This window comes from Homo sapiens, chromosome 1 (genome assembly GCF_000001405.40).
Source record: "Homo sapiens chromosome 1, GRCh38.p14 Primary Assembly".
Lineage (NCBI taxonomy): Eukaryota > Metazoa > Chordata > Mammalia > Primates > Hominidae > Homo > Homo sapiens.
In genome coordinates, this window is record NC_000001.11 from 24,426,130 (window position 1) to 24,447,562 (window position 21,433).

Below are 21,433 nucleotides of genomic sequence, written 5' to 3' on the forward strand. Positions count from 1 at the left end.
CAATGGGTAGCGTAGTTGGGGTGAGTAGCTTTGCCTTCACCTCACTTCTTTCGCCAGTAACACTCCATTGAGAGACTGCAGCATGGGTAGAGTGACCGTGGTCCCGGTTTGTGCCTTATGCCTGTGTATGTTAATAGAGCCCCCTTTCATTCTCAAGAGTCTTCCTTTTTTTTTTTTTCCTTTGAGATACAGTTTCAGTCCGTCGCCCAGGCTGGAATGCAGTGGCGTGATCTTGGCTCACTGCAACCTCTACCTTCTGGGATCAAGTGATTCTCATGCCTCAGCCTCCCGGGTAGCTGGGATTACAGGCGTGTGCCACCACCTCCAGCTAATTTTTGTATTGTTAGTAGAGACAGGGTTTCACCATGTTGACCAGGCTGATCTTGAACTGCTGACTTCAGGTGATCTGAGGAGTCTTCCTATTTGGAAGGTGTACAGTTATCCTAAATATAAGGCTCCTGGTAGTTGGGAGGCCTCATACTTCCTCACCCATAAAATACTGGAACCAGAGCGGTGTGGGGAGACCCTGACAGTCGCTTATTCCGTGACTTTGGCCAAGTCTTGGGCTTTCTTGGGTAACACATCTCCACTGGGAGCAGCTCCTGAGATATTTGCCTGCCTTCTCCCCTCTCTTCCACCTCAATGGACAGTGTCAATTCTACTCTGCCTTGTCAACTCGAGAAAAGTTGGGAACCTGATTGGGTGTTGCCTCAGAAGAATCAACCTGATCTGGCAGTGCCCAAGCCTGGAGCCACCCAAGACAGTTCTCACCCCTGCCTGTCAGCTGGGAACCATATGTTCCAGTTTGCACCGTGTCTTTGCTTAAGGGACAAAGTCACTGATTGCAAGGTGGAATATCCCTGTTCTGTGTTAACCATGCACGTGTACTTGTGAATGCTCCACCCCTAAAATAACCCCAGTGAAGACATACAAGGTGGTTCCTCAGGAAAAAGAGGAGCAGAATAGGTAGAGAAGGCTGCCAGCGGGGTCCAGAGGTGGGAGCTGGCCAGGCACTACCCATTCCCTCCCTGCAGCAGAACTGGGCACCCGCATTTATGGTTTCCAACCTGAGGGTTGGAGGAAGAGCTTGCTGGCAGGAGTCATCCTTGCCTCCCCATTGCCCTATGCCAGGCACTGCAGGGTGCCTCGTAGGTGTGTGTACAAGCAGTGTAGCCCAGGGCTGGTGGCAACTTCTTGGCCTGTCTTTGAATGCTCATAAAATTGGACCCGTCATCACTTCACAAGGGTTTGGGGGCATAATTAATGTTGATGAAGCCCTTTGAAATGCTTAGGTGGAGTTATATTATGCTATTGCTAATCATGTCTGTCTGTAACTGGTTATTACATGTGGACATTCATATGTTATGGAAATGGCTTTTAAAAGAAACCTCAGCCATCTGTGTCCTTAGTGGAAATGTGGCACTGATAAGGTTATTTTTTTTTCCTAATTGATTGTGCCACCTTTGAAGGACACTTCACAGAACACAATGGAGACAGTCTGGAGGAGTAATTATCATCAAGAGGCTGGAAGTCAGGCTTAGATGCTAAAAATAGGACTCATAGTAACACCCATCTCATAGTGTTGTTTGTGGCCCTAAGAGAAGGGTGCACAGAAAGGGCTTAGCACACCATGTGCTCCATCAATACCAGCCTTTATTATCATAGTAACTATCGGGGATCAGAAAACCATACCTGAAAAAGAAAGCCTCAGAAGCAAAAGTTCCTCTCTGACCTTTTCTTGCTCTCCTTTCTCTGGCCCCGCTTCTCCACCAGGCTAGCCATAGAATCTACAATCCCTCTTCCCCAGGGCAGGTCATAGAAACCACAACCCCTGCAGGCACTGAGGTGGCTCATGCTTGTAATCCCAGAACTCTGGAAGGCCGAGGCAGCCTTTGAGCCCAGGAGTTCGAGACCAGCCTGGGCAACATGGTGAAACACCGTCTCTACTAAAAATACAAAAATTAGCTGGGTGCAATGGCATGCACCTGTAGTCCCAGCTACTCAGGAGGCTGAGGTGGGAGTATGGCTTGATAGCCAGAGATGGAGGTTGCAGTGAGCTGAGATCACGTCACTGCATTCCAGCCTCATTCCAGCCTGGCTGACAGAGCGAGACCCTGTCTCAAAAAGAAAGAGAGAGAGAGAGAGAGAGAGAGAGAGAGAGAGAGAGAGAGAGACACCAGAACCTTTCCCCAAAGCCAGCTATAAAACCTAAAATATTACTCTAATTTTCTTCCACTTTTTTTTGTAAAAATTGGCCATAAGGAAATTATCAGACCTTTGTTTGATCATAGGTCAGAAGACCCCCATTCCAGAGAGGGTCCTGACTCATGTAAGGAAGGAATGCTGCCCAGAGAGGCTGAGAAGAATCTCAACAGACAGACCTGGCTGGGTTCCCCACTCAGTCAATCAGCATTAGATCAGGCCCCTTTGTCCAATCATATTTCTACACAGTCGTCCATACTTTGTTGAACCTAAGCCTAAAAATGACAGTTTCTCCTGTGTCTTTGGGTCTTCTCTCTGAAGGCTCCCATGTCACATAAAATGATGATGAGATAAATTTGTACGCCTTTTCTCCTATTAATCTGCCTTTCATCAGTTGATTTTCAGCGAACCTTCCAAGGGCAATGGGGAAGTCTTCCCTTGGCCCATACATAACCTTTTGGCCTCCAATGTTTTTGCTGCCTAGGTGGGTTCATCCTTGTGAGGTTTATAGTTTTCACTTCTGGGTCCCACCCTTCCCTGCCACACTCCCTGACTTGTCTCTGTGGCCACAGTGGCCTCCCTCTGCCCTTCTGCAGCTCTGCACTTCCATGGTAGTGAGTTAACACATTCTCAGGCTAGTCTGTGAAGACAGACTAAATCCTCGTGGATTTAGTCAACCACTCATCTGAGGCCATCTCATCTTGGTCTCTTGCGGTAAAAATAAAATAGCAGCTACCAGTTATAGGTGGAACCATATGAAACTACCATCTTTATGCATCAAAAATGGTTGAATATTGGCCGGGCATGGTGGCTCACCCCTGTAATCCCAGCACTTTGGAAGGCCGAGGTGGGCAGATCACCTGAGGTCAGGAGTTTGAGACCAGCCTGGCCAACATGGAGAAACCCCGTCTCTACTAAAAATGCAAAAAAATTAGCTGGGCATGGTGGCACATGCCTGTAGTCCCAGCTACTCAGGAGGCCGAGGCAGGAGAATGTATTGAACCATTTCTGGCAAATTTAAACTTGGCATTTTTTATTTATCTAACAGTATTGAGTACTGTTAGATACTGTTAACTGAAGCCCTTGGTATAAAGACCATTCAGTACCCACTATCAGCCTTCTGAAAAATATATAAGCTGTTCTTTATGTGTTGAAAATTTTACATCATTCCCTTTTCTCCTTGAATTTGTATTTCCATTCTATTTCCCTCACAGAATTTTATTCCAAAATTGGGCAGGCACTCAGAACCGGAAGAGGTTCAGAGAGCTCCGCTTTAGTGGCCTGAGCAGCACACTTTTATAGGTTGAATGCAGAAGCAAAGCAAAGAAATGGCTTGATTGGCTACAGATAGGTGCTTGCTTTATTTGGGTCTGATTGGAGGAAAGTCCCTAGTTAGAGGTTAGTTGATGCTTTGATTGGTTGTGCTTAAGTATCATTTTACTGGTTACATTGCAATTCAGTTTGCTTACATAGGAACCCAAGGCCCTACAGCTGTCTCAGCCTGATGGCCTCCCAGTGAAAATTTTTTCATACTTCTCTATAAGAAAAGATGTAGAATAGGTAATCAAATTTCATTTATTAAAATTTCCTTGGATATGAGGTTCAGAAGAGTTTATTTATTGGTATGATTGACTGAAAGCTGTTAATGCAGTGTAAAATTTTACAATGATTATTAAGCAAAAAAAGTATTAGAAATGAATATCTGAATGAGAAGAATAAGACTTTCTTTAAAAATTAATTTCTGTATTCAAGATAAATATTACTGATTGCTAGAATGAGGTAGAGTTTAGCATCTATTCTACTGCAAGTTTTGTTTCCCATAGCTAAAGTGCTAAGAACTTTATTCACATTAGTATAAGTACCTGGAATGGAAGGACTGTTGGTATAGCAGTATCACTAAATTCTTTTTTTTTTTTTTCCTTTTTTTTGAGACAGAGTCTCACTCTTGTTGCCCAGGCTGGAGTGCAGGAGTGCAATGGCGCGATCTCAGCTCATTGCAACCTCCACCTCCCAGGTTCAAGTGATTCTCCTGCCTCAGCCTCCAAATAGCTAGGATTACAGGTGCCAGCCACCACACCTGGCTAATTTTTGTATTTTTGGTAGAGATGGGGTTTCACCGTGTTGGCCAGGCTGTTCCTGAACTCCTGACCTCAAGTGATCCACCCGCCTTGGCCTCCCAAAGTGCTGAGATTACAGGCATGAACCACCGTGCTAGGCTCCAGTATCACTAAATTCTTTAAACTCCTTCCAAGTTACATGCTAAAAGTCACATCATGATAAACTATTTTCATCAGCTAACGATACAATCAGAGCCACCTTCATTTTTGTTCAAAGCAAAGTACTGGACACTCCTAATTACAACAACAAGATTTGTTTTGCTTTCACAATTTCTGTGACGTTTACCAAAAGGGCATTGTCGATTATGCCTGTAACTTTTTTCACCTAAAGGCACCTTGTGTTAACCTGATATATCTAGAAAGGGTCAGGGAAATTGAAATATTATTTTTACTATTCCTTTGCTTATGCTGTACTTTAATGCACATATATTTTTACATTTATTATGTAGTATAATGTATAAGTATTTGTACATATAGTTCAAGTATAAATGATTTTATTTTAGAACAAGCTTTGAATATATTTTTGTCAAAGCTTAGAGCAGGAAATTTAGCTCATTCAATCTGTGTAACAGATCTGGAATATAACCTAATTAACAAAGCTAGTCCTTATTTTCCAAACATCAGTCAAACCAGACTCTGGCTTAGGAATATTCCAACAAGGGCCAAACTATCCCATTCCAGTGTCATGCCTTAACAGGAATATGGATGACAGAGGGAAGAAAAGTCATTCTTGGGATGGGCGTTACAGCATCTTGATTATCACTAAAAAAAGTGGGAAACAAAATTTCAGAATTCCCCTTGATTTCCTGGTGGTTTTACAACTTGGCAATGTACCAGAGTAAGATTCTAAGGTAAATGAAGGACAAGCCTTTCTTTGATCAAACGGGAAAAAACTGCCGTGAAAGGTGAAATGAGAAAGCGGAACATACGAAAAGCTGGCAAAGAACATGGAAGGACATGAAGATAGGTGATCAAGTCCCCTAAGACTGTCAGTATCACCTTGTGGAAGAAAATCTCTGGCCCCAGTCCAAAGAAGATGGCCTTCTGGTCCTTGCAACCCTGATTTCTATCTTTTTAAAATTTATTTTATGACCTTTAAGTGTTCAAGTGAAATAATTTCTCTTTTAGAAACATAGTCCTAATAACATCACTCAGAGCCTCCCTGTCATCTCCAAGGCCAGGTCCAATGTCTTGGAATAGGGCTTCTCTGGTTTCTTTCCATCTTCCCTGGACCCCTTTTAAAACTGAATTAAAGGGGGTTGCCTTTAGTCAGTTCCCCGATCCCATTTTTCCCTGAGTCTTTTTCCCTTACACCAGCCATCTTTCTCTTCCTCAAAAGTACTTGCTGGTTCCCACCCCCGGAGCTTCCTATGCGTTGTGGAACAGCTTTCTGCACCCCACCCCCACCACTCCAGGTCTTCAGCCCTCCCTTCAGAAATCATTCTTCAGAGATGTCTTCCTTGACCACCCCACAACACACACACTAGATCAGGTCCCTGTCACGTAGAGTACCCTGTGCCTTTCCTGTGTAGCCCTAACCACAATGTGATTACGTAGTCAGTTCAATGTATGTTATGTGAGGACAAGGACAGGGCATGGCACAAACTAGGCACTGAAGGAACAAGTGACTGGAGTGCCATTCCTCCCTTCTCTGTACTTCTTGTGCCCATCTCTAATAGATTATATATATATATTTTTGAGATGGAGTTTCGCTCTTGTTGCCTAGGCTGGAGGGCAATGGCACAACCTCGGCTCACTGCAGTCTCCGCCTTCCGGGTTAGTGATTCTCCTGCCTCAGCCTCCCGAGTAGCTGGAATTACAGGCGTGTGCCACCATGCCCGGCTAATTTTGTATTTCTAGTAGAGACAGGGTTTCTCCATGTTTGTCAGGCTGGTCTCGAACTCCCAACCTCAGGTGATCTGCCCGCCTCAACCTCCCAAAGTGCTGGGATTACAGGTGTGAGCCATCGCGCCCGGCCAGATTGTAATATTTTTAGTGTCTGTATTCTGCACTAGCCTGGGAGTCACTGGGTCAAGAACCAATTCCCCAACTCCTAATAATAGCTACTATTTATTCAATACCTACCCTGTTCCAGGCCTGTTATAGAGCTTTATATATTATATAGTTTGACATAATAATTCTGAGCATGGGCTCTGGGGTCAGACTACCTGGGTTCCCATCCTTCTTCAGCCACTTACTAGCTATCTCTTATCCTCTGTGCCTCAGCTTCCTCACTGTAAAATTAGATGATAATAGTACCTGCCTTAAAAGGTTGTTATGAGGATTAAATGAGTTAATACGTTTAAAGTACTTAGAGTAATACTTGGCACATAGTAAGTGCTTGATAAATGTTAGTTTATGATTATCATTGTCGTCATCATCTCTAATCTTTACAACAAGGCTAGTCTGTCAGTTTCCAAAGGCTGAGCTCTCTCTAGTAAACCCGATCACCTCCCACTGGCATGTGCCTAACACGTAGGAAGTTCTCACGATGCCCTATTGTTAATGATGGATGACTCTAACTATGATAGCTAATATTTATTGAAGGCTCTGAGAAGCCCCATAGTAAAGAAATCTGTATCCGTAAACCCTCTGACTTGTGCTAGGAATCGTGCTTTGTTACTTCCATGGGTTTATCTTGTTTCATTCTTGCAGCTGCCCTGAGGAGTAAGTACCGTTAATAACTCCATTTTACAGTTGAGGAAACAAATGCCCAAAGATATGTCCGAGTCACAGTGTCATGAAGGACAGAGGCTGGATTCAAGGTGAGGTCTGCCTGACTCTAGAACCTAACCTCTGAATAACCACACTCCACACACTTATTGTGCTGGAGCAGTTCCTTAGGATTACGATGTCCTCTTAGTTTCCACAAGATACTGTACGTTGTAGGTTGCCTTCTGCAGTCCTCTTCAGGCCACAAATGGGTTGAGGGGGTTGGGTATGCTCTGCCTCAGGCCAGGTGCCATGTGAAGGTTGGAAGAGGAGGCCAGGCATGTAAAAAAACCTCAGGCTGGAAGTCTGAGAGCCTAAATTTTAGCTATAGTCCTTCCATACTGCCTTTGCCACATAATATTAAGCCAAGTAGTTCAGGTCTTGTGCCCAGAGTAAATTCCTCCTTTGACATTCCACCTTTTTCTGAGCACTCTCTCAATTATTGCCATTTATTTGTGCTTAGATTAAGTCACTTATTCAGGAAACATAAACTGAGTTCCTTTTATTGATTGGGAAGGAAAAGAGAGACATGGAGGCTCCAGTTAGATATAATTTCCAAATGAAAGGAAGGCAGAATTCTGTCTACCCATATTGGATGATTAAGTTTTAAAAGGAATTAAGAAATCTGTGACAATAATAGCATAATGGGTGGGGGAGAGAGATGGGAACTATATAGGAGCAAAGTTTTGTATAACACTAAAATTAAGTTGCTATTAATCTGAACTAGATTGTTATAAATTAAGGTGTTAATTATAATCAGCACAGCCATTAAGAAAATAACTCTTAAATACACAGTAAAATAAATGACAAGGGAATTAAAATGGCACACTAGAAAACATATCTATTTACCACAAAAGAGGGCAGTAATGGAGGAATTGAGGAAAAAAAGAGACTACAGAAAACAAATGGCAAAATGACAGAAGTCCTTTCTTATTACTAATTATTATTAAATGTAAGTAGATTAAACTCTCCAAGTAAAAGGCAGAGATTGGCAGAATATATATTTTAAAACATTCAAGTATGTGCTATCTACAAAAGATTCCCTTTAAATTCAAAGACACAAATAGATTGAAAGTAAAAAAGAAAAAAGAAAAAGATATTTCATGTAAATAACCAAAGGAGAGCTGGAGTAACTATACTAATATTAAACAAAATAGACTTGAAGATAAAATTGTTACAAGGTACAAAGAAGGACATTATATTATGATGAAGGGGTAAATTCATCAAGAAGATGTAACAATTGTAAAATAAATGCACCTACACAGCCCCAAAATACAGGAAGCAAAAACTGACAGAATCAAAGGAAGAAATACACGATAATAGCCAAAGACTTGAATAGCGTATACCCCACTTTTACTAATGGATAGAACAATTAGAAGATCAGCAAGGAAATAGAAGACTTGAACAACACTGTAAAGCAACTAGACCTGACAGAAATCTATAGAATATTCCACTCAACAAAAGCAAAATACAAATTCTTCTTAAGTGCACATGAACATTTTCTGGGATAGAGCATATATTAGGACAGAAAACAAGTCTCATTATTTAAAATATTGAAATTATACAAAGTATGTTTTCTGATCACAATGGAATGAAATTAAAAATCAATCACAAAAGGAAATTCACAAAAACAAAGTGGGAAATTCACAAACATGTATAAATTTAACAACACGCTCCTAAATAACCAACAAGTCAATGAAAAAAATCACAAGGGAAATTATAGGAACTACCTCGAGACAAACTGATCCTAAAATCCATATGGAAGTCCAGGGGACCCAAAATAGCCAAAACAATCTTGGAGGAAGAAGAACAATGTTGAAGAACTCATACTTCTGATTTCAAAACTTACTACAAAACTATAGTAGTCAAGACAATATGGTACTGGCATAAAGACAGACAAATAAATCAATGGGATAGAATTCAGAGTCCAGAAATTAACCCATACATCTATGGTCAGTTGATTTCAACAAAGATGCTAAGACCATTCAATGGAGAAAGAATAGTCTTTTCAACAAATAGCACAGGAATAACTGGATATCCACATGTACAAGAGTGAATGAAATTGGATTCCCACCTCACACCATGCATAAAAATTAACTCAAAATGGATCGGAGAGCTAAATGTAAGAGCTAAAATTCTTAGAAGAAATAAAAATCTTAGAAGAAAATAAAGGTGATATTTTAGATCAAGCAAGTTTTTGTCTCTTTTAGTTCAGTTCCTTCATTGGTGGCTTCTTTTGTGTTAAATAGATATATTTTGTAGTGTACCATTTTAATTCCCTTGTCATTTCTTCCACTATATATTTTGAGTTATCTTCTTAGTGATTGTGCTGAGGATGACAATTAACACCTTAATTTATAACAATCTAGTTCAGATTAACACCAACTTAATTTTAGTAGTACATGAAATGTCGCACCTATATAGCTCCATCTCTCTCCCCCACCCATGATGCTATTGTCACAAAATATGACACCAAAAGCATAAACAACAAAACAATAGATAGATTAGACTTCATCAAAATTTAAAACTTTTCTGCATCAAAGGTAGAAGTCTAGCCTCTCTGTGTGGTCTCCGTTGACACCATGGGGAGGAGGACACCTTGCCACTGGCTCCCTGCTTAGCCTTCCCTGATAGTCCCAACAGGGGAGTTGAGGGGCTGACTTAGTTCATTTGGGCTGCTGTAACAAAATACCATAAACTGAGTAGCTTATAAAAACAGAAATGTATTTCTCACAGTTCTGAAAGCTGGGAAGTCCAAGATCAAGGCCCCAGCAGATTGGGTGTCTGGTGAGGGCGCGCCACCTCAGACGGCACTTCCTCTCTCTGTCCTCACGTGATGGAAGGGGCGAGCAGCCTCTCTTGGGCCTCTTTTATAAGAACACTAATTCCATTCATGAGGGCTCCACCGGCATGACCTAGTCACTTCCCAAAGGCACCACCTCCTAATACCATTCCCTTAGGGGTTAGGACTTCAACATATAAACTTAGGGGGCAGCGGGCACAAACATTCAGATGTACAGATGCCTTGTTCTCTGTGGTGTTTAGAATAGTGAGGTTATTGTCTAAAAGTGTTTTTCTTGCCAAGCTTCCCATCAGCTTGTCCTTTGGTAGTGAGAGGAGGCTTTTCTTGGGGCTTTTGTTTTTTTTTTACCCTGCTCCACCCCTGTTGGTATTTCCAGAGTGCTGGCTTCTTCGCCTACAAGTTTGGGATGTATGAGGCAAAAAGAATACAGAATACCCAAGAAGCTCACCAATATGCCATTCCTGGGGTCCCAACTTTTCTAGCTTGTCTGCCTTCTTCTCTCTGCATTCAGAATTGTCTTATGTTTGTCTTTTTTTTTTTTTGAGACGGAGTTTCACTCTTGTCACCCAGGCTGGAGTACAATGGTGCAATCTCGGCTCTCTGCAACCTCTGCCTCCTGGGTTCAAGTGATTCTCCTGCCTCGGCCTCCTGAGTAGCTGGGATTATAGGCGCCCACCACCACGCCCAGATAATTTTTGGGTTGTTTATTTTTTTTGGTAGAGATGGAGTTTCACCGTGTTGGCCAGACTGGTCTCGAACTCCTGACCTCAGGTGATTCACCCGCCTTGGCCTCCCAAACTGCTGGGATTACAGGCGTGAGCCACCGCGCCCAGCCTTTTGTTTGCCTTATATGTGATGACCAGGGTTTTAGTTGTACATAGCAGGAAGAATAGGGAAAAGTACATCTACTCCATCTTCCCAGAAGCAGATGTTCTATAATTGACTTTTTAAATGGAAAGTTATAAAATAATTTTTTGTATGCAAGGAGCATTAAAATATTGAAACTGGCTGGGCGTGGTGGCTCACGCCTGTAATCCCAGCACTTTGGGAGGCCGAAGCGGTCGGATCATGAGGTCAGGAGATTGAGACCATCCTGGATAACACGGTGAAACCCACCTCTCTACTAAAAATACAAAATAATAGCCGGGCGAGGTGGCGGGCGCCTGTAGTCCCAGCTACTTGGGAGGCTGAGGCAGGAGAATGGCGTGAACCCGGGAGGTGGAGTTTGCAGTGAGCCGAGATTGCGCCACTGCACTCCAGCCTGGGCGACAGAGTGAGACTCCATCTCAAAAAAATATTGAAACTAAGATTCATTATATTTGTAAATACAATTTGTTAGATGTATAATAATTAGTTCTGTGGTAAGGTTTTATTTCAAAAAACTAAATTTGAATAACATATTTCTTTTTACAAAATAAAAGCAGATTGCCTTTTTTGTCCACCAAAGCCATGGCTCTAAGGGGGAAGAAAAAACCTCGCTCATGTTTATGAGAAGTTGGGCTAATAATAAACATGTCCCAAAATGCTTTCCACAAAGTGCTGATTCTGTTGAGCTTTTTAGTTGCAAGTAACAGAAGCAAGTTCTTAAGCAAAATTGGGCTGTTCCTGGCTTCAGGAAGGTCTGGAACCAGGAGGTCTGGAACCAGGATGGCCCCAGGGTCCTGAGGAGCGACAACTAATGATTTGCTCAGGCCTCACCTTGGGCTGAAGGGAGTCAACCTTTCTTCAGCCTTTGTGTTTCTCAGTCCAAGATCTGGATCCCAGAGAAAGAGATTCTGGGCTGCCTGGCTTGGGTCACACTTGGGCCGTGATGTCTAGGGAGGATGGAGCACTGGGAATGACAGTTCCAATAAGACCGTGTCCAATGGGGAGGGGGCGGAGGAGAGTCCTCCCCAGCAAAATCAGGGTGTCGTTTATCAGAAGAAAAGGAAAGGATTAAAATGTTAGTCAAGTGAGAGTCATAGATGTTTACTCCAGATGCTGATGGCTGGATTCCAGGTTAAGAGTTCTAGAGCCAAATGAGTTTGAGAACCTGAGTTAGACAAGGAGAAACTCCCCTGAGAGCCTCTAACATGCTCTGGGGGCCTCCCAGCAGTGGGTAGAGGATGCATTGCCTTTAACTACATGGTGCTTTTCTTGCCTTGGCACCCCATTAGCATCTCTGGGAACTCAGCTGGGGAAACCCTGGCTGGGCAGGTCTCCAGCGAGCCTTTTAGCTCTGAGATCCTGTCATCCCACAGGAAGGACGTGTTCTGCCTGCAGGTGGCTTTATTCTGTCTTGCTGCTCATCGGGTGAGTCAGAATCAGTTCCCAGCTCTGACCTTTTCCAGGTGGGGGACACATCTCAGGTGTGGTGAGGTTGTGGCAGAGCTGGGACTAGACTGGGGTCCCCTGGCTCCACATCTTTCCCTTCTGTGGCAGCGCTGAGCCTTGTTGGGAGAGAAGTTAAGGACAGCTATCCATAGTGATTTCAGTTGGTGGGCCTCCCTCTCGGTCCTCCTGCCCTCTCCCGTCCCTGGCCAACTGCCCCTTCTCAGGGAAGACCTGCCCTCAGCTCTCTAAGCCCCGCGATCTAGGAGAGGGCAGGGGGGAGGGTTGACTTCACTGTTACTGCTGACTGTGTCCTGAGGGGGAAGCCTCGGCCAGCTCTGGCCACTGCGGGGCAGCTTGCTAATTATCTGTCTTTCCAGATGGACTGAACATATGACAGTGAGGACTGTTTGTCTTGTTAACTGCCGATTCCCTAGGGCCTGTCCCCCGCCTTAAAGAATGGGCAGGATTTCACCAGGGAGGGGAACCAGGCGGGGTTGGGAAGAGAACATGCTGGGAAGGAGGTTGCAGCATTGGCCAGCATAGAGCATTCCTTGGTGTTCAGTGGTGGAATATGGATGGAGGGTGTGTTGGGGACTTGCTATAGTGTGGTTTAAATGCTAGTACACTTTGACCCAGCAATTCCACTTACAAGAATTTGTCCCAAGGGACTAATCCATACAAACGCACAAAAATGTGTGCACTAGGCTATTCAATCACAGCATTGTTTTTTTAAAAGGAAACATAATAGACACGGGGGACTCCAAAACGGGGAGGGGTGGGGGTGAGAGTTGAAAAATTACCGATTGGGTACTGTGTTCACTTATTTGGGTGATGGGTTCACTAGAAACCCAAACCTCAGCATTACACAATTTACCCATGTAACACACCTGCCCATTTACCCCGACTCTAAAATAAAGTTAAATGAAAAATTAATAATAAAGGAAACAGCCTAAATATCCAGTAATAGCAAAGCAATGATATAAAATATGGCACATCCAAAAATAATGAGTTATTTGACATTTAATAAAAATGACAAATTAGGTATGCCTGACAGGGAAATGTGCTCACAATATGTTAAGTAAAAAAACAGATTATAAAACAGATGGTAATCTTATTTTTATAAAGTAAATTAACATTTCCATTGATATGTAAATTTATGGACAGAAAAATGTTTGCAGGAATAAGAACCAAAATGTTTATAGTCATTATCTCTGGGTTATAGAATTAAAAGTGACTTTTCTATTATGGTGGTGTTGTTATTGTTATTTTTTTCATTTTTTTCTCATGCTACCTTGTCTAAGATATTATTATTTTTATCTATATATATTTCCTATTTAGTCTACAATGAATATATGTTTGGTAATCATTTTAGAAAGTACAAAATTCCGTGCCAGGTAGTCTGAACCTAACTCATAGGTGATGTAAATTAACTTTTTATAAATTGAGTAATTGACAATGCCCTAAGCAAGTGAGCCAGTTAAAAGAGTTTCATTGAAACCCTCTGGGAAATTGAAGACACTATTGACAAGATAGCAAAAAGTATTCTCTGGCCTATATTTCTCTTGTAAATTCTGATTTTGGAATGTTGCTTTTCTGCACAAGATGGTGGCAAGTTAATACTTTAAAGGGAATAGCACAGCAGGTTTAGACCTTGTCAGGTCAGTGTGATCGGGCCACCAAAGTATCCAATTCAGGGCAGCATTTTGTAAACCAGCAAAGCAGCCAGATTAACCTTCAGTAGTAACATTCCAGTTGTGGGTCTGGAGTGTGGCTTTGTCACTGATATTGTTTTTCTGGTTTTGTTTTGGGGCAGCAAATGGTTGAGTGTCAGAAGTGTCCTGGGGCCCCCTGGCTTGTGCCCAAATCATGTCCACTCCTGTGAACTTTCCTTACAGGAAAACCTGATTGGCGCCCTCTTGGCGATCTTCGGGCACCTCGTGGTCAGCATTGCACTTAACCTCCAGGTAAGTTTCAGTTACCAGCACTGTCTGGGGACAGAGACACAGCAGACAAGTCAGGGTGTCTTATCCAGGTCCAGCTGCCTCCTCTCTGCAGGGCCTTGCCTACTGCATCCCTGGGCTGCACCTGGGACAATACCTTGTGGGCCGTTCCAGGATTTCTCTTGATTCAGTGGCCCCACTCCATCCCGCCCTCGCCCTCCTAGCCAGGTCCTCACTGTCTCTCCTTGGGCTTTGCAGTGACCTCCTGCTAGCTTCTCTGGCTCTGGTCTCATCCCTCTTTGCCTTGCTGCAAAGCTGCTGGAATTACCATAGTTTTGTCAAATTCAACTCTAATTACAGCACTGTTCATTACTTAAAAGCCTCAGGGATGCCCTCTACAGCTGCTGTGGATCCCCCCACTGACCTCCAAATCCCCTCGGCCTGTCTGAGTTCACAAGCAGCTGTGGTGTGTAGCAAGTTGATAGCTAATGAGCTTCTCATGGGGGCACCAAGGAGCTGGTGTTACTGGCATGCAGGCACAGTTGGGGTGTGCACTGGGGGAGCAGGACGTTAATGCCCCTGGAGGCTGCCTTCTGCCAGCAGGGGTGGGAGGCAGGGAATAAATGCCCCAGGCTCTTATCCTCTGCTAGGATGATTCTAAGGTGAGATTCACAGGGTTTTTCAGAGGGTCCCCTGTGGGACTGAGTCCCAGTTGCCCACGGGACTAATCCGCTCATGAATGCACCTTTCATCTCTGTTCCCTGCCTCACTTTCCCCTTCCCTTACTCGTGCTCCCTGGAATTATCTCATACAGACTACCTGCTCCCACATTCTTGTCTCAGGGACTGCTTCTGGGAAACCCAGATAAGACTTGGTACCTGCTAACAGGATGAATCCCACAGCACACTGGCCGGCTTCACTCCACCAGCACTGCCCAGCTTCTGCCTGCAGTGAACTGCTCTCCCTCCCTGGAGCAGGCAGGAGACTGTGATCCCTGTGGGCACACACTTGTGCCTTGTTCACCTGTACTCTATGCATCTCAGCTCTGGGATGTGTATGTTTCTGTGTGTCGCTGAGACCACGTGGTCTCTTAGCTACTTGTCTGGTTCATTCTCTTCTTTCTCCAGGGCAGCATCTCTGGTTGTTTATCTGCTTCTGGGCAGCCCACATCATGATCCTCCCCAAATGGCAGACTTGGCCCTCTAAGTCAACATGACTTTCTAGCCTGCTTTAGTTACTGCTTCAGTTTCGATGTCCCAGGTTCACATTTCCCCCCAAAAAAGAATATTGACCATGCTTGAGCCACGTATCCACCCCAGGGAGAGCAAGGCCCACTGATACCCACACAACTGCCCAGCGAGAGCTGCTGGCATGTAGACAGGAAGGAGTGTGCCGAACACACAGTCATCCAAACGTGGGGAATCCTGGAAACTGCAGAGAGAGGGAGGAGGTCGACCCAAGGGCCAGGCCAAGTGGGATCTTTAGACTATGGCTCCCACCCTGAGACTGCATTGCCTGTGACGTGCATTAGAAATGCCTGTTTTCAGGCTCATCCACACCTCTCCGAGACTGACTCAGGATGAGGCCCAGGTGGGTATTTTGACAGAGCTTCTCAGGGGATTATAAGGATTCCCAGCCTGTTGGAGAGCTACTGTCCTAGAATTTAGATCTAGTATTTAGATCCCCACTGTCTTACTCTTCTCTGAGTCAGGACTCCACAAGAACCTGACAAGTCTTCCCAATTTATTTGCAAGTTGGGGGTGGATTTAGGGTACCTACATCATAGCATTTTTTTCCCCAAACATCTGAGCAAATTGCATTATTTCTCGGGTTTCTAGAAGTACTGCCACATCCGCCTGGCAGGCTCCAAGGATCCCCGGGCCTATTTCAAGACCAAGACATGGTGGCTGGGCCTGTTCCTGATGCTTCTGGGCGAGCTGGGTGTGTTCGCCTCCTACGCCTTCGCGCCGCTGTCACTCATCGTGCCCCTCAGCGCAGTTTCTGTGATAGGTAAGACCAGGGCTGCCCCACCCTCCCCTGGGGTGCTCCCAGCTGCGTGACCAGAGTGCCAGCGCCAGGATCAAAGGTGCCCATTGAACAAACCAGCTTTAGCTTGGATAATAATAGCCTAATACAAAGGGCTTCAGACACACCAGGCCCTGTAAGTGCTTACAGATATTAATTCTGCTAATCCTCCAGCCACCTGTTGAGGGAGATGTTGTTGTTATCCCCATTTAACAGATGAGGAAACTGAGGCACGGGGTAATGAAATTACTTTCCCCAAATGACACAGCTAGTGAGTAACAGGGCTGGGATATGAACTGGGCTGTCTGGCTCCAGGTTCTGTTTAAGATTCAGAAGGCTTATTAGAATTGCTTTTTATTTCTAAAAGAAGAAGGAAGATAAACCTTAACCCATGCATCTTTTCACCATCAAGATACATTAAGCTTGTCACTGAGTGCAGTGGCTTGTACCTGTAATCCCAGCTACTTGGGAGGCTGAAGTGGGAGGATCGCTTGAGGCCAGGAGTTTGAGACCAGCCTGGGCAACATGGAGAGACCCCATCTCTACAAAATGAAACAAACAAACAAAAAAGAAAAACAATTAGCTGGGCATGGTGGTATGCATCTGTGGTCCTAGCTACTTGGGAAACAGAAGCAGGAGGATCCCTTAAGTCCAGTGTTTGAGTGCTGCAGTGAGCTTTGATTACACAATTGCACTCCAGCCTGGGTGACAGAGCAAGACCTCATCTATTGAAAAAACAAATTAAGCTTTTGTAGGGTTTGGGGCCAGGCCAGGCTGGTCTCAAATTCTTGAGCTCAAACTATCTGCCTGCCTTTCCTCCCAAAGTGCTGGGACTACAATTGTAAGCCACCACACTGGCCATTAACTTTCTCATCTGCCAGCTTTCTGTGATTTCTGTAATCACTGAACCAGTGTTTCAGAACATTTGAACCAACTAAAAGACAAGGGAGCTTTAATGTTCATGAGAACACAAGCAAAACAGAATTAGAAAAAAAAAATTCTTCTTAAAGAAAAGATGTTAGTAGATTAGTGAACAATAGCTTTTTTTGTGTGCATAGCAGCCAGGACAATGAACTTGCTTTGAAATATTTCTTTCCATTTTGCTGGCAAGCACTACTCTGCCCAGATGCTCTGCTCTGCTCTTAAAGGAGAAAGTCATATTTTGGGTCTTATTCCTCCTTGAGTTAAGAGGTTCTCTTCTATGCAAGGGATGGCAGATGCATGGTAACTATGTGCCCCTCCCTTGCTGTGCTCAAGGCAGACATCGTTAATCAATCATGGCATTCCTTCCTAGAGAGCATAGATGGGGCCTCAGAATTCTCAGTGCTTCCAACAGTCACTACCAATCACCAGGAGTTGGCAAGGGAGCAGAAACCTATTTACTTTCCCTGATCCTGTTATAAGTCCCGGTTTTTCCTAACCAGGGTTGCTGAACTGGCAGCTTGCAAAGTGAATGAGGTCCTCAGACATGGTGTGTGTTTTTTCCCACACAGTACTTTTTTAATGTAATTTGAATGTCTTTAGCTGAGGCAAGTAGTTTGCCAGAGTCTCAGCCTTTCCCTGTTGTCTTACTTCCAGACCATTTTCTATATTTGTGTTCTGTTACTCCCCAGCCCCTGTATGTGATCATACCTGTAGCCTTATCACTCTGCTCTGCCCACTGCAGGTATCTCCAAAGGGCTCCCAAACCTTTTTCACAATGAGAAATAAGTGTCTAAGTGACTGGTGCTTTAAATATTAGTCTTCGAATTTTAATAAGGTTCAAATAACCAAATTCTTTTTTTTTTTTAAAGAGGCCAAGTTATAATGATAAAACTTCAGATATCAGCCACTGGAAATGAAGGGGCCCTATAGCTTCTGAGGTCATCCAGTGAGGAGTAATATTAAAAATAATAATGATTATCACTTATTGGATATCTATGACTTAACCATCACTGCTCCAGGTACTTTTAGTAATAATATTAGCTTAGTTATTGAGATTGACTGTGTGCCAAATGACTTACATATATCATTGAATTACCCCTATCATTCAGAAAAGTAATTTTCAATGGTGGGCTGGTAAACCACCTCTCAGAGAGACAAAGGAGAAGAAAAAGAAGAGGAGATGGAGGGATGGAGAAAGGGGATGGAAAAGTGGAAAGGAGAAAAGGAAGACCTGATTTGTAGCGCTTGCCAGTTTATATGGTATAGACATTATCACTCCCACTGTGGCTGATTTCAAGCTACGGATGGTTTTCTGAATATTTAACAAAATATTTAACATTCTATGAGCTGGTGCCAGCTGGATCTAACACCGTATTTCATAGACTAGAGAACTGAGACTCAGGTGAAGTGACATATCCAAGGACACACAGCCAGAAGAGGCAGAACTAGGGTAGTGAGTGATCCAGGTCTGTTCACAGTGACTGCCAGCCCTATCCTTTCGGGCAGTCCCAAGGGCGTTTGAGTACATCTGTGAACGTGTAAGAGCCAGGGAGAGGAAAGAGCCGGGGGAAATGTCAGAGGTGGGTGTTACAGTGGAAGAAGTAAGAGCCTGGCCTCCTGCAGTCCTGGGTTCAAGTCTTGCCTTCCCCTACCACCTTCATGATCTCGAGTGGGCCCTTTACCTCTCTCAGCTTCAGTGTCCCCATTTGTCAAATAGGAATAATGAGAGTACCCACCTCCAAGGGTGAACATGCCAGAAATAACTTGTGTAAATTGCCTGTCACACAGCAGGTACTCAATGCTTCTAGCCTTGTAGGAAATCCTCAGGAAGGAAGGCTCCTCTCTGAGCCTCCCTTTCCTAGATGGAATCACACAGGAACCAAGCTTTTGGCAGCATGAGTGACAGGTTAGGAAGTACCAAGCTCCAATGCAAAGAAGCCACCCAGAGGGCATGGGTGAAGGGATGCCCTTTAGCTGACAGCAGCCTCAATTCCCTTTTCTTTGTGCTTCATTTTTCAGCTAGTGCCATCATAGGAATCATATTCATCAAGGAAAAGTGGAAACCGAAAGACTTTCTGAGTAAGTTCAGTGATTTGAGCTGTGTCCTTGATTTTATATGAACGCTTTTTATTAATTGTAAAACCAGTTCACTCTAATTCAGAGGTTATCTGCCTCCTGCTGTCCTCTGTGGTTCTATGTTCTGCCCTCAACAGGCTCCTGAGAGCTGGATTTTTTAATCAGGGGTTCTCAAGCCTGGCCACACCTCAGAATCATCGGTGAGGCTTTTAAAAATGGACTTTTATCCACCCCATTGGATCAATTTTGAGCATCTATTATTGGGATTTTAGGAGGCCTAAGAAAAGAAACCCTCTCTCCCTGACTGAGTTCTAAAGCAATGGGAGTCAAACACAGATGATCAGAAGTCATGCCTTACTCCTAATAAAAGCTAGATTAGAGCATTTTAGGTGAGCTAGATTAAAGCATAAAGCTGCTTAGGTGAGCAGCCAAGGGAATGTCCTTGTACTCTCCCCACAGGACCCTCCAGCTCCCAGTCAGACCTTGGGCGGGTCCCCCCAAGAAACACTTGGGTTTACAGAGTGGAGACACTTAGCCAGAATTATTGCCTCACATAGTTTGGGCCAGAGAAGGAAGAAAAAAGATCAAAGCCCCAGTATTTAATTTTTTTATTTTTTTAAGAAGATTAGCTCCACCTAAGTTGAGAAATGTAGACCAATAGGGCAAGAGGCAGAAGTGTCACTTTAATGGAGGTCCCTCCACATGGAAACCCAAGAAGTGGGGAAGAAGCGTTTCCCACAAAACACCTACTAAGTCCCATGTTGTGTTATAGGTGCTGGGAATACAGCAGTAGGATAGATGGGGCTTCTGCTCACAGAGATTATAGTCGTGTGTGTGTGTGTGTGTGTGTGTGTGTGTGTGTGTGTTGTGGGAGGGGAGAGATACAATAAACAAGCAACTAAATGAAATAATTTTAGGTTGTAGTGAGTTTTTCAGAGAAAATTGAATGCTTTCGGGGACTGGGGAGATGGGAACACTTTCCTAGACTGATCAGGGTCAGACTCTCTGAGGAGGTGATTTTTCCCCCCAACTTTTAATTTAATTTCAGGGGTACATGTGCAGGATGTGCAGGTTTGTTACATAGGGCAACATGTGCCATGGTGGTTTGCTGCACAGATCATCCCATCACCTAGGTATTAAGCCCAGCATCCATTAGCTATTCTTCCCAATGGTCTCCCTCCCCCAAACCCCCACCCTCCAACAAGCCCCAGTGTGTGTTGTTCCCCCACCATGTGTCCATGTGTTCTCATCATTCAGCTCCCACTTAAAGTGAGGACATGCAGTATTTGGTTTTCTGTTCCTGCATTAGTTTGCTGAGAATAATGGCTTCTACCTCCATCCATGTCCCTGCAAAGGATATGATATCATTTTTTTTGGCTGCATAGTATTCCATGGTGTATACGTACCACATTTTCTTTATCCCTCTGTCATTGATAGGCATTTAGGTTGATTCTATGTCTTTGCTATCGTGAATGTGCTGCAGTGAACATATGTGCACATGTATCTTTATAATAGAACAATTTATGTTCCTTTGGGTATATACCCAGTTAATGGGATTGCTGGGTCAAATGGTATTTCTACCTCTAGGACTTTGAGGAATCACCACACTGTCTTCCACAATCGTTGAACTAATTTACACAAGGAGGTGATTTTTAAGCCCAGATCCAGGTGATACTAAGGAGATTGCCATCCCCAGGTCTGTGGGCCGGGTTTTCCACATACCAGGAGCCACAGGTGCAAAGGATCCAAGGCAGGAACAAGCTTGGTTTGTCCAAGTCTCGGTAAGGCTGTGTAGCCAGAGGGTAATGAATAAAGTGAGAGGGAGATCAGTGAGACATGGAGGACTGGCTGATGTGTAGGCCTTATGTGCCATACTGAGGAGTTGAGGAGTGACGTGATGGTGGCCCAAGCTCTGTCCTCAGAGATTCTGCGCTCTGGGCTGGGGCCGGGGCCGGGGCATTGGCATTCTTATAGAGCTTCCCAGGGTGAAGTGTATACTGATGCCTGCAAATCACTTTGAAATGCATCAAAAATAAGATGAATTAATGCATGGATAGAGAGATGGATAGATTTGTGAGAAAACAAGTATAATGAAAGGTCAGTTTAGAATCTGGCTGTTGGGACTATGGGTACTCACTATACAACTTTTTGAACTTTAATATATGTCTGAAAAATTTTAAAACAGAACTTCAGGGAGAGAAAATTTCCAAGATGTTGTGGATATACAGCCAAGTTTGGGGACCACTCTGAATCATTGATATAGAATAAGATCAAGGTGGGACCAAGAGGCCAAAAAAGAAAAGAATTTTACTCTAAAAAAA

General features: G+C 43.9%; 1 protein-coding gene across 23 annotated transcripts in view; it reads left to right on the plus strand.

Annotated features, from left to right (window-relative positions):
* Positions 1–21,433, plus strand: part of NIPAL3 (NIPA like domain containing 3) — a 59,460-nt gene that overhangs the window by 12,606 nt on the left and 25,421 nt on the right. For 16 of the 23 annotated variants that reach the window (NR_136508.2, NR_136506.2, XM_011541808.3 and 13 more), the window contains 3 exons: positions 14,043–14,111; positions 15,926–16,097; positions 19,056–19,115. The exons of 2 other annotated variants lie outside the window; for them this stretch is intronic. Coding sequence is in view for 16 of the 21 variants with exons in the window: in XM_011541808.3 (XP_011540110.1) it covers positions 14,043–14,111; positions 15,926–16,097; positions 19,056–19,115 (301 nt within the window). In the remaining 5 variants the exon portion in view is untranslated. Of the gene's footprint in view, positions 1–6,974; positions 7,085–13,960; positions 14,112–15,925; positions 16,098–17,905; positions 18,056–19,055; positions 19,116–21,433 lie in introns of all 23 variants that reach the window. 5 more of the 23 variants (NM_001322859.2, NM_001322861.2, NM_001322862.2 and 2 more) reach the window with 4 other exon arrangements.